This window comes from Homo sapiens, chromosome 6 (assembly GCF_000001405.40).
Source record: "Homo sapiens chromosome 6, GRCh38.p14 Primary Assembly".
Taxonomy (NCBI): Eukaryota; Metazoa; Chordata; class Mammalia; order Primates; family Hominidae; genus Homo; species Homo sapiens.
Window position 1 is genome coordinate 164624811 of NC_000006.12, and position 13686 is coordinate 164638496.

A 13686-nucleotide genomic window follows, 5' to 3' on the forward strand; every position below is an offset into this window, starting at 1 on the left:
TAAATATATTAAAATATGTCTGAAAACAAAAATCAAGGTATTTCAGAAAAAATTAAGGTGGAGTATGGGTGTTTCGGGTTTCATCTGAACAGAGATGGTGGGAAGATAGAAGAAAATAATTACGTATCTACACAGACACAAATTGTATATACATATACACACATATGTGCGTAAGATGTCAGTTTATCTTAATAGATTGAGGCATATATAGTACGGGTAACTGCATTTTAGGCATATAAATAAGCAATGAGAAAAGAAAATAATTGGTTCGATCATAAATAGTTGATAACACAGAGGGATCAATAGTTGAATTGGTACCTCGATAGTGATAGTAGTTGCACCAAGCACTGAAGAACAATTAGTAGAGAAACGGATTTTGTATTTAGACATATAGGAAAGAGAAGGTAAAATTAGTAGGAAATACGATAAAACAGGTAAATGTAGAAAGATTAGCAGCTTGACAAATCAAGGAAATGTAAGAAAAACAGATAAAGGAACAAACCATTAGAATTAATATTAGCTAAAATAATAAAATGAGGTATAAAAGTATTTGGTGAAGAAGGTAGTAGAGATGACAACTAAAATTTTTATATCTTTCTAAATACCCACATAATTACGGAACAGTCAAAATTATACAACAAATTTTAAAAATGTATGAACAACATACACAACATAACTGGATAATAAAGTATAACCTTTAAATACAGCAAAGTAGGGAGAAATCACTGACTACAGAAAAATTAAATACATAATTGATATCTGTAGGGAGAAAGCAGAAGAAAGCAAGAGGGCATTGATTGTAAAACAGGAAATCCTCAAGGTAACTAAAAGAATTGCAGGCGAATTTGAAGACAGCTCCTGAAATGAGAAGTGTTTGGTCCAAGGCAGCAGAAGGTGAATTCCAGGAGTCCCTCACTGAAAACTGAGAACAGAGCACTGTGGCCACCATGAACTGTCAACACCATCCCGCAAGGGCCCCCTTTCCACACAGGACTTCACACTGCGGAGAAATTACTGAGAGTGGACTTAAAATTGGTTGGAATCAAGGTAAGAGAAATAAATAAGGTATAGATGAAAGTTAGAAATATAAAGAAGGAGAAAACATGAGACATGCTGTAATGTTTCTAAAACTCCACAAAAATAACAGAGGGAGAGTTAGTTGAAATTAGAAAAGCCATCCAAACAGCCAATTTCTACAAGTTAAGTGAGGTAAAATTTACATAAAAATGAGCAATAAACTATATAAAGGTAAAATTTCACAAGCAGTAATTATAATACAAATTATTTAGGAGACCAAAGATTTCCCCAAAAGAATAAAAGGATGCAAGAAATAAATGCATAAAATAATAATAACTCTAATATGTGATTTCAGACAAATCCAAAAGACATAAAGATATGACATCAAGTAAGAGCATAATTTAGAATAATAAATTATATGGGAGAACTCAAGAAAAATAGGCATATAAGGCAAATATAATTTTAATACTGAAGAATAAAATTAGAAGGAACACAACAGCAAACATACAAAAATTAATACAAATGGAAGGTGAAAAGAGAAAATTTTAAAAAATTAAAATGCAATCAAAAGATTAAAATAACTTTCAAGAGAAAAGAACATATATGCAAGATAGGCTAAGATGATTCGACACGCAGAGAACAAGAAACCCTGAAGATGAAAACTAAGCAAAGAAAAAGAAAAAGTTCTTAAACTATAATTCAAGTAAACTTTTAAAAATACATATTTTTAAATAGCTGAAACAAAAATTGAAAACAAAGAATACCATACATGATAATGTTGCTGCAGAATAACCCACACCAATGTATATTCTGATAAAATTACTAGATTTGAAAAAATAAAGATCTTTCATGTTTCTAGGCAAAATGACTAAGTAACATGAAGAGAAACAAAATTAGAATATCATCCAAATTCAATGGCAACACTTTATCCAACGTAGAATGGAGCATCATATTTAAGACTCCCAAATAACTATGTAAACCGTGAAAATGGACCTTGAATATAAAGGGCAAGGAGAAGATGTCACATCCAATTACTCTCAAGGGAATATTACTCCCATGAATGCTTTGTAAGGAATCTACTGAAGAATTCACATCAGAAAACCAAAATAACTAAAGAGCCATTTGCATGAGGACGAATAGTTAACATTAAATATACTGAATAATTATTAATAGAACCAAGATTAAATGGAGGCAAACAAATGGGAGATTAGAGTGTTTAGTAGCTATACAATCTGAAAATGTGGATAGAGCACAAATATAAAAATGGGAAGATAATGCAGATGGAATATAAAAGGTTAACTGTTTCAGTAATGATAATTAGTAATGTAGTATTGGTGTTATTATTCTGAGACACATGTATGGGCAATAGTCTAGTACTATCATTTCCTATGACCTGGACAACTAGAATTCTTAGTGTAAAAAAAGAAGATACACATATAATATAGAAGATAAGAGGCTAGGTGTGGTGGTTCATGCCCGTAATCCCAGCACTTTAAGAGGTCAAGGCGGGCAGATCACTTGAGGCCAGGAGTTCGAAACCAGTCTGGCCAACATGGCAAAACCCCATCTCTACTAAAAATACAGAAATTAGCAGGATATGGTGGTGCATGCCTGTAATTCCATCTACTCAGGAAGCTGACGCATGAGAATCCCTTGAGCCCAGGAGTCAGAGGTTGCAGTGAGCCGAGATCGTGCCACTGCACTCCAGCCTGGGTGACAGGGCAAGACTCTGTCTCAAAAAAAAAAGATATGAGATGTGTAAGTGTGTAAATATATTTCTGTGTGTGTGTTAATATATATATTTATATGTGTATACATATATAATTATATATAAATATATAATGTATATTTAATGTATAATAAATATATATGGATAATATATGTATAATAAACATATATATGTATATTTAATGTATAATACATAATGTATACATATTTCTATAAATATATTTAATATGTATACACAGGTATACATATTTCTATATGTATAGAAATATGTATACCTTAAATATGTATAAACATGTATATTTATATAAATATACATATAAATATGTATATAAATATATAATATATATAGATGTATATATAATGCATATTTATATATGTATTAATATGTAAATATATATTATATAATATGTATTGATATATAAATATATATTCTATAATATGTATTTATATATAAATACATATTATATTATATATATATAAATATATATATATTATATAATATATATTTATATGTTAAATATATATTATATAATATGTTCAATATATTATATATAATATAAATATAACATAATATATTAATATAATATAATATATTAATATAATATAACAATATAATATAACATATTAATATAATATAATATAATATAACAATATAATATAATATAACAATATAATATAATATAACAATATAATATAATATATTAATATAATATAACATATTAATATAATATAACAATATAATATAATATATTAATATATTATAACATATTAATATAATATATTAATATATTATATATTTATATTTAAATATAAATATACATTATATATTTATATACACACACAAAATATATTTTTATATATTTATATAAACACACAAAATATATTTTTTACATATATATGGTGGCAGAGAGATCCTGGGATGCCCCCAGTGATCCTCACCTCCTGAGGTTCAGATTCCTATGCAATCTTCATTCCCTGACTGTGGATTATGCTTTTAGCCAATAGACTATAGCAGAGATTGGATGTCACATTTGGTATTAAAATAATATTACATAAGACTCCATCTTGCTAGTGGATTAACTCTAAGAACTCTCCTTTAGGTCTTGATATAAGCAGCCAAATTAGGGAAGCTCACATGGCAAAGGACTTTGACAATACTAGTAGCTAAATACAGCCTTCCACCAACAGCCAGCAAGAAGTCAGGGCTCTTGGTCCTACAATTGCAAGCAGTTGAATTCTGCCAACAACCCGAGTGATTTGGAAAGTGGGCGCTTTTCTCATTGATTTTCTACATGAGAATACAGCCCAGTGGACACATCAGTTTCAGCCTTGTAATACCCTAAATAGAGGACCCAGCTAAGCTTTTCTCTGACATCCATGTATGCTGCTTTAATTTTGTAGTTTATTTGCTGTACAACAATAGAATATATGGGGGTGTATTTGTATTTACAATAAAATTCCAGGCGTAAGCCAGTAAAAGGACCTAGAATTAAAAGCCAAAAAGCAATAGTCATCATTTATGCCCATATAGTTTAGATTTTGGACTTCAAATACCATTTTTTAAATCTAAAGCAACCAGATCTTCTTGAAGAAAGAGATTAATCTCTATTTTGAGAAAGAAAAATGCAGGAAAAACATATAAATAAAAAAATTGTCAAAGATTACTAGGTGCATATCCAAAGAATGAAGGACTGATTTGGAAATGCACTCACTACACAAAATGGGACAATTAGAAATATGACAGTGATAAATATGCAATGGATTGCGGCCCACCAAATACACTCAAATGATAAATGATATTAAATGAAAGGATTTAGTCACCTTCTGAAGATGTTAGGAAAGCAATTCATTTTTTATTAAAATTGAGCATTTATTTTGTTTTTTTCTTTATGAATTGTACCAATGGACAACTAAATAGATTAAAAAAGAATCTCATTAGAAAATTATTTTACCAAACAAATAAAAAGACAATAATAACATTGTAAAAATCCCATCTTTATAAGCATTTGCACAACTTAATATATTGAAGATATAGAAATTAAACAGTAACAATATCAGCAAAGCATGGAAACCATTCTGAGTCTATACAATGGAAATCATAATAATACTATGTAAGCCCATGGCAAGTTGTATTTAGTGTGTAAGGGTTTCTCACACAAAGAAAGCACCACATAAAATTTACTTATTTTTATTAGATAGACACAGACATACATATACAGAGATACAATTGCCCCTTTATCAATATAAAAATGACTATTAAAATACACACATAGAATGTCCTTAAGTTTTTTTCCTGCACCCTCTATTCTCTAAAAAGTTTAAATCAGTATTTCATTAGCTGTACTTCAATATCTACCAAGAATTCAGTGTGCTATGCAAGTTTAAATGTGCTTGTCTATTTACTGTGTGTGTTCACATACACTCTGGGAAAAGGGCAGTCTTAGTTTAATCTTCAGAAATACCTGCTAAAATCAAACTTCTCCACACCACATGAAATCCCTCGAATAATTTTCCCCTCTTGTGGCACAGTGTTTTCAATACAAGGTAATGCAGTGTCAAAATTGGCTTCTTCCCAAAAGTCTCAGAAGCAAGTCTTCACTTTCAACAGTTTCTTTTTCCAACTGTGTCAGAACGGTAATTATAATTTGCAAGGTAATGCAGGCAGGCAGACTTTTGTTTCAGGTGAAGACATAACAAAGGAGAATTATGAATATTATCAGGGCATTTTTTAATGTGCTGCTAAACCCGAAAGTCCTTGCCAGTCTGGCTCTGGCTGACCTTGCCTGCATTGAGCCCCCTCTCCTCTCTTCACTGCTATGATCTACTCCTGAGAGCCTCCTTTGCTGTTTTGAATATGATCTTATAACCCTTGACTGCCTCTTCACTTTTATACTTGCTGTTTCTGAGCCCCGCAATGATCTTGCCTCAGCAATTTTTATCACTGCAGTGTAAAAGTTCAGGAAATGAGAACATGTTGAGTCCATTCAGTTCATTGAAAATAATATGTTAACTAATTTAAACTATTGAGTTAAAATATATTCTATATTTCCGGGAAATTTTATCTTAAATTAAAGATTCCCCAGATTTTAGTTTACCTGTATAATCTATGATTCTAACAGCGTTTTAAAGCTTATTACTTAGTTTAGTAAAGTCAAAAGTAAGAACGATGAATTATTACTCAAAGTGGTGCATACTTGCCATTTTTATTATTATTTTATTGTTATTATGTCTTTAACTAGAGCAATATTTCTCAATATTGCATGTGTGCAAAATTGAGTATGAGTTGCTTTGCCAAACTATAAATGTTTCTTCTCATCATGTTAGTAATTCTAGACATTTGCTATATTTTTAAAGATCCTCAAATAATCAAGTTAAGCATTTTCTAATCCACTGAACATTGTATAATATTTAGATGAGAAAATTCTATTTATTTTAACATGATTTAAAAGTAGTCGTATACATTTTACTCTGTGAAGAATCAAATCAGTCATTATTTTAGTTTTAGTTATTAACATTATCATGTTAAGTCAACAATTTCATATCGATATATTAATGTAATCAATTAATGTGTTTAATAATCGATTACTTGATTTTTATACCAGTAGGCCCTAGAATGAAGTTCTCAGTGTTTTTGTAAAATCTTCTTTCTTGGGAAACTTGAGCTGTTCCTGGCCCAGCATAGTTCATTTTGGCAGGTCAAAATCATGACTAATAATTTTACTTGTAAGTAAAAGTTAAAACAAAAACAAACATTTACTTACTTTTTCAAATATATATTGGTGGTAGATTTTAATATTACTCACCAATATTTTCTGTTCAACTCTTTCCACCCATAAGGCTGTTGTGGTTCTCCACCATCCCAAGATAAGTCACAGCCCAGTTACTTGCGTGGGCCCAGGAAAAGTGGACAGCCTTGCTGAGTGCCCCTGACGACCAGGGCTGGACTCCCCAGCATGCTCTTACCTGTGCCGCGTGGAGGAGGGTTGGGGCTGACGTACCATAAGATCAATCAAGGCAGTCTATAACGCTGAGACAACAGGACCGAGAACCCAGTGTGCAGTAAATTTTACATTAAGTCACAGAGATTTTGTGGACTTTGTTACTTCCACTTAAGCCAGACTATCCAGACAGATACTGTATAACAAAATTAAGTCTCATTAATTTTCTTTATGAACTATAATGATCAATAATGACTGTATTCTAGAAAAGTCATGCTATAATTATCTGTGACAAAATATCTGTTTTAAAAAGCACAAGGATCTCACCAGCAGACTTCAAGTGATAAATTGAGATATTTACAGATGCATTTTATTTTTTCTTTTTAACTGAAAGAAAATTCATTTTTCTCGGTTTCCTTCTAACCTTTAAATAGAAAGTTTGGCCAGGCACAGTGGCTCATGCCTGTAATCTCAGCACTTTGGGAGGCCGAGGTGGGCAGATCACAAGGTCAGCAGTTCAAGACCAGCCTGGACAACATGGTGAAACCCCATCTCTGCTAATGATAGAAAAAATTAGCTGGGAGTGGTGGCATGTGCCTGTAATCCCAGCTACTCGAGAGGCTGAGGCACGAGAATTGCTTGAAACTGGGAGGTGGAGGTTGCAGTGAGCTGAGATGGCACCATTGCACTCCATCCTGGGTGACAGGGCAAGGCTCCATCTGAAAAAATAAAAATAATTTAAAAATTTTTTAAAAATAAAAGGAAGTTTGCAGAAAATACCAAAAACAGTAATACTGGGCTTATTAATGTCTGCAAATTTGGGTATATTTTCACGTTGACTTTGCTTTTACTTTGTATTTTTATTTTTCACATATAAGATTGATTTTTTAAATTAACTATTACATAATACAAACAAAATACTCTGGAAATAACTACATATTTCCAAAATACATTTTATTGTTCTCTGACTTATTAAATACAATTTTACCTTTTAATTTAGTATTTTAAGGTACATCAGTATGAACAACAATTATTGAACGGTGACATCTAGGAGTTCAACAGAAAAGTAGGGAGCTGCTATCCCACAGCAAACAACCCTAGATTCCTGCACGACTATAATCTAGGCAATGTGCTTTCTATTCAGGATTATGACTCTCCTTTAGTGTCAGGCTCGTATGCCTATTGTTATGTGTTCTTGGTTATTTCTTACCTGTAAGCCTCAGTTTTTGCATTTTCAAAAACTCCTACTTCAAAATCCTCAGGGGAGAATCAGATGAGAATAATATAAACAATGAGCCTAGTATGCAGTAGATGCACAATAAATTATAGCTCTTAATTACTGTTATTATTATCGTTATTATTATTGTTATTGAGACGGAGTCTCTGTCTCCCAGGCTGGAGTACAGTGGCGCGATCTTGACTCACTGCAACCTTTACCGCCTGGGTTCAAGCAATTCTCCTGCCTCAGCCTCCCGAGTAGCTGGGATTACAGGCCTATGCCAGCACACCTAGCTAATTTTTGTATTTTTAGTAGAGACGGTGTTTTGCCATGTTGGCCAGGCTGGTCTCGAAATCCTGACCTCAGGTAATTCGCCCGCCGCGGCCTCACAAAGTGCTAGGATTACAGGCATGGTCCACCATGCCCGGCTAGCTCTTAATTATTTTTTCCAGCAGTATTGTTATGTTTGGCCAATAAAAGGTGTACAACTTAATGTTTTAAATAGATACACATTGTGAAATAATCACCACTATGTACTTTGATGTATCCATCAACTCACAATTACCATTCTCTTTCTTTTTTTGAAATGACAATGCTTAGGATTGACCCTCTTAACAATTTGCAAGTATACAAAATAGCATTGATAACTATAGTCACAATCCCATGCAGCAGATCTCTAGAATTTGTTCATCCTGCGTAACTGAAATGCTGTACCCTTGACCAACATCTTCCCGTTTGTCCCCTGCTTTACGCTCCTGGAAACCACCCTTCTACTCTCTGCTTTTGTGAGCTTGACTATTTAATGTTCCACACATAAGAGAGTTTACACAGCATTTGTCTTTCTGTATCTGGATTTTTTCAAATATTGTGTTGAATAAGTCATTTTGTACCCACTTTGTTGAATATATTTATCATGAATGAATATTGAGTTTCGGCAAGTGCTTCTTCTGCAACTATTGAGATGATCATGTCATTTTCTTTCATTCTGTTGATCTGGTATGCCACATTGATGGACTTTAATATGTTCAATCATCTTTGCATCCTTGGGATAAATCCTTTTTCGTAATGGTGTATGATGCTTTTAATGTGCTGTTGCTTGCTTTGGTTTGCTAATATTTTTTATTAAGGATTTTCACATCCACGTATTTCGCTTTCTGCATGTTTAGCAGTTGTTTTATTTTTCTCTTCCTCTCTTGCTATCTTTCTTCAATATTTGATGATTTTTTGTAGATTTACTTTGATTATTTTTTAACTATTTTGTATGTGTTGTGGACTTCTTTGTGGTTACCTCAAGGATTGCATAAAATATTATGTAGTTATATTCCATTATTTTAAGTTAATCACAACTTGACTTCAATCAAATACAAAGCTCTACACTTTTACTTCCTCCCCAGGTAATTAGTGTTCTTGCTGTGAGAGTTTGCTTCTTTATATGTTGTTTATCCATTAACAAATTTTTATCTTTTAACTTTCATATTAGAGTTAAAAGTAATTTATACACCACTATTGCATGGTCATATTATTTTGTATTTCTCTATGTATTTCTTTTACTAATGAGGTTCATGATTTCATATGCTATTATATTTCTGTCTGGTGTATTTTCATTTTGATTTGAAGAACTCCCTTAAGTGTTTCTTGTAAGACATGTCTAGTGGTGATGAATTGCATCCGTGTTATGTTTCTGAAAAAGACTTTATCACTCCTTCGTTTTTAAATAATAGTTTTTCCAGGTATAGCAATCACAGTAAGCAGTTTTTCTAAATTATTATCATTATTTTAGTAGAGGCTGAGCATCCCTAATTTGAAAATCCAAAATTTGAAATGCTCCCAAATCTAAGACATTGTGAATACAGTATATTGGTTGACTTGATGATGTCCCATGAAGCCTGTAGCTTTTCCTCTCTTTTTATTATTTTTTAAATTTTCCCCTCTGACTAGATTATTTCCAAAGTCCTATATTCTAGTTCACTGATTCTTTCTTCTACCCAATTGAGTCTGCTATTGAACCTCTCTATTGCATTTTTCACTTCATTTATCACATTTTTCATATCCAGAATTTGTTTGGTTCTTTTGTAATTATTTCTACCCTTTTGTTGAACTTCTCATTTTGTTTATGGATTTTTTTTCTCATCTTATTGAGTGTTACAAATGTTTTCTCTCATTCTTCACTGAGATTCTTTGAAACAATTGTTTTGAAATTATTGTTAGGCAATTTGTAGATCTTCATTTCTTTGGAGTCAGTTTCTGGAAATTTGTATTCCTTTGGTGGTGTCATATTTCCTTGAATTTTGTGTTTGTTGTTGTGCTGTGTTGGTGTCTGCACTTTTAAAGGAGTCATCACCTCTTACAGTGTTTACGTACTGGGTTCAGTGGAAAAATACCTTCATCTACTGGTGGATACAAGGTCACCAGCTGAGTTGGGTTAGTGTTAATGCCAGGTCCAAAGTCAGATCCAGGAATGCACAGGGATGCTGGTCCCAGGGGCATATAAGAATGTCAGTTCCAGGCGCAAGTGTCCCTGCAGGTACCAGAGGATGCACAGCAGCACCAGTTCCAAGGTCAGGTGGGCAATGCAACATTTACAACTCCATGGGGGCACAGCAGTGAGTTCCAGTCTATGGGGGCCACTGGTGCAGCCCTATCTCTGGGGAGTGCAGTGGCAACTTCTGCACTGGGGAAGGGCAAAGGTGCAATCATGCTTCTGGATCCAAGGAAGCACAGTCGTGTCTCTTTCTCTGCAGGGCACAGTTTCATGGACTCTGGAAATCTTCATTACCTGAGATCAGCATTAGCAAAAAGTGTTGGGGATCTTAGTGGCAAAGGCTGTGAGTGCCCATGGTGGTGTCAGTTGCTTCTGGGGTCCTCAGTGGTGAAGGCTGCTAGGGTCTTCTTGATCTTCCTTTTCCCACAGAGGAGAGTCATAATTGAGGGGATCCTTCTTGGCACTGAGCTGTGCCAGGTTTGAGGGATGGGTTACACAGACAAAATGTTTTTTATACTTTTCTATGTCACCATCCATGGTTTTTGTGCTCCACTGAGTTGAAACATATTCTTGATTATATACTGGAGTTCTTTCAGGGCTATTTGTTTCCATCGGCAGTTGTTAAATCATTGAATTTGTAAGGGAGTGAGGGCTGGGGCATTTTAGTCTGGAATTTGCTAATATCAGGTTCTGGTAGCTCTCATTATTATTATTACAATTCTTGCTATAGGCATATCTACTTTTAAATTATAACTTCAGTCGTATTCCAAGCTTTCAAACATATGTGTAAACCAACTATAATTGGATGAAAAAAAAGCCAAGTAAAAATACAGGTAAAGCACGTATACTCCAAGGAATTTACATTGTGACACTTATTTTGTGGCTCAGTGATCATGGGTCTCATGAAAATTATGTTTTGGATAGAAAAGATTGTCAGCTCTACTCTCTACTAGATGCAAAGGCCTTTTATGAAATAGAAAATTTACCAAAATTTAGGCTCTTGGCTAAGTTATCCTTCAGATAACTGACATATTTCAATTTTGTTGCCTTTTTTCACTTATGTAGTGGTTTATGCCAAAAATGATATATTTAACTATATATGTAGTTGTTGAGGGTAATAATTAAGCAAAATAATAGCATTCATATTATATTAACAATAACAATAGTATTTGATAATGTTATGAGTAAAGTGGCAAATTAAAATCTACAAGAGCCCAAGGGCATCATCATTTATCCCATGGAATATTATCTGAGGGATGGGACTATGGAGGCTTGAGGACTGGGCCAGAAATTTAGAGCAATATTCCTACTGCCTATGCATACTTAGTCACATTAGAGGAAGACACCCATATCAAAGACACAACTGTTCTCCCTCTTAAAACAATTCAAAGGTTTCAACTTATGTGGTACAAAAAGCAAAAAAATATCAGTTTGAAAATCCTGAAATGAATAACAATCATGATAGAAAAGACAGAGTCCTGACATGCTCTATGCCAAAAAAATAGGGAGTTCCTTGCCTCTGAAAAAAGCAGAGCTGGAAAGGCAGGATTAAATCATCTTCCACGTCTTTGGGTGCTTAGAAGTGAAATTTTTCATTAGGTGGAGTTGTTTGCAATAAACACACTACACTTCTTGCCTATAGAACAGTTGAAACTATCCATACATACACAGTCAAGTTTTTTCACTAGGAGCCAAGAAAGCAATGGGGGGAAAAGAGGCCATTGGAAAATGGGATATTTATATAGAAAAAAAATTTAAAAAGAAGCCTTGACTTTTTACACATTATACTATAAAATCGATTCAAAATTGATCATAGTTATATAAAATTATAAAGGCATTGGAGCAATAATTTAACCTTCCACCTGATAACAAGTAAAGGAAGAGAAAATTAAATTTAAAAGAAACAGTAATGGGATAAACATGTAAAAGCAGAAGTTAAAGAAATGAAAAGCAAATAATAAAAAAGGAAAACAAAGAAGGACAATTTTTCATTAATTTCTGTTAAGATCAATAAAATTGACAAATATCTGTATAGACTGATTAGGAAAATAAGAGTAAGGATGCAAGACACCAATATTAGGAATTACAGACGGAATACTGCCGCAGCCTGTATGAATATTAAAAATAGGAATATCATGGAAATCTTTAGGACAAGACATTCTACAGCTTAGATAAAATAGACACATTCCTTGACAAAGATAAGCTTTCAAATAGCTGATATCTATTAATAAATAGTCATATATCTATTAAAATTGTGTAAGTAGTTAAACATTTTCCCACCAAATAAAGTTCAAGCTAAGAAGTTGGTGAATTATATCAAATGCTTAAGGACAAAAATGCATTTATTTTACACATTCTTGGTTTTCCCAGAATAGAGAACAGGGGAATGCTTCTCAACTCATTTTATGAGACAAACATTACTCTGATTCTAAAATCAGATAAAGACATTACACAGAAACTTCAGGCCTAGATCACTCATCACTGTAAAAGAAAAAGAGCCTTAATTGTATGTTAGCAAATTGAAGTCACTGATATATAAAATGGATAATATATTATATTCAAGGGAGTTTATCACAGAAATGCAATCTTTGTTCAACATTCTAAAAAGCAATAAAGGCAAATCACCAAGTTTAAAGCATATAGGATAAAAATATGATGTGAATAGAGTAAGAGAGTACATCTGACAAAATTAAAAAAAATTTTATATAAAATAAAAGCTCTGTAAGATAAAAAATAAAAGGAAACATCTTTAACCTGATAAAAGTCATCTACAGAAACCTATATGAAACATCATACTAAGGAGTAAAGACTGAATTATTTTTTTTTCTATTTTATACAAGGCAAGATGTCTATGTTCACACTTCTATACAACATTGTACTAGAGGTCTTAATCAGTGTGATATGAAAAGAAAAATCCTTAGAGTTACAGGTTACAAAAGAAGTTAGCTCTTTATTGACCACTGTTACGTACATATGTGTAGAATATCCTACCAAACCCATAAACGGCTATAGTCAGCTATAAACAGCTATAAATGCATATCTAGCAGAATCGTGTTATAAGATCAATATACAAAACTCAAATGTATTTCCGTATACTAAAAATAATATGGAATTGAATTGAAGATAATTTATCATAACTTCAAAAATTAATACATATTAGAATGTATTGACCAAAATTTAATTAGTTGTATATAAAGAAAATTTAAAACATTGGTATGAGAAATTAAAAGAATTTAGTACATGCAAAATATATTGTATTTATGTATGGAAGATTCAAAATTGTTATGATGTAATTTATCACC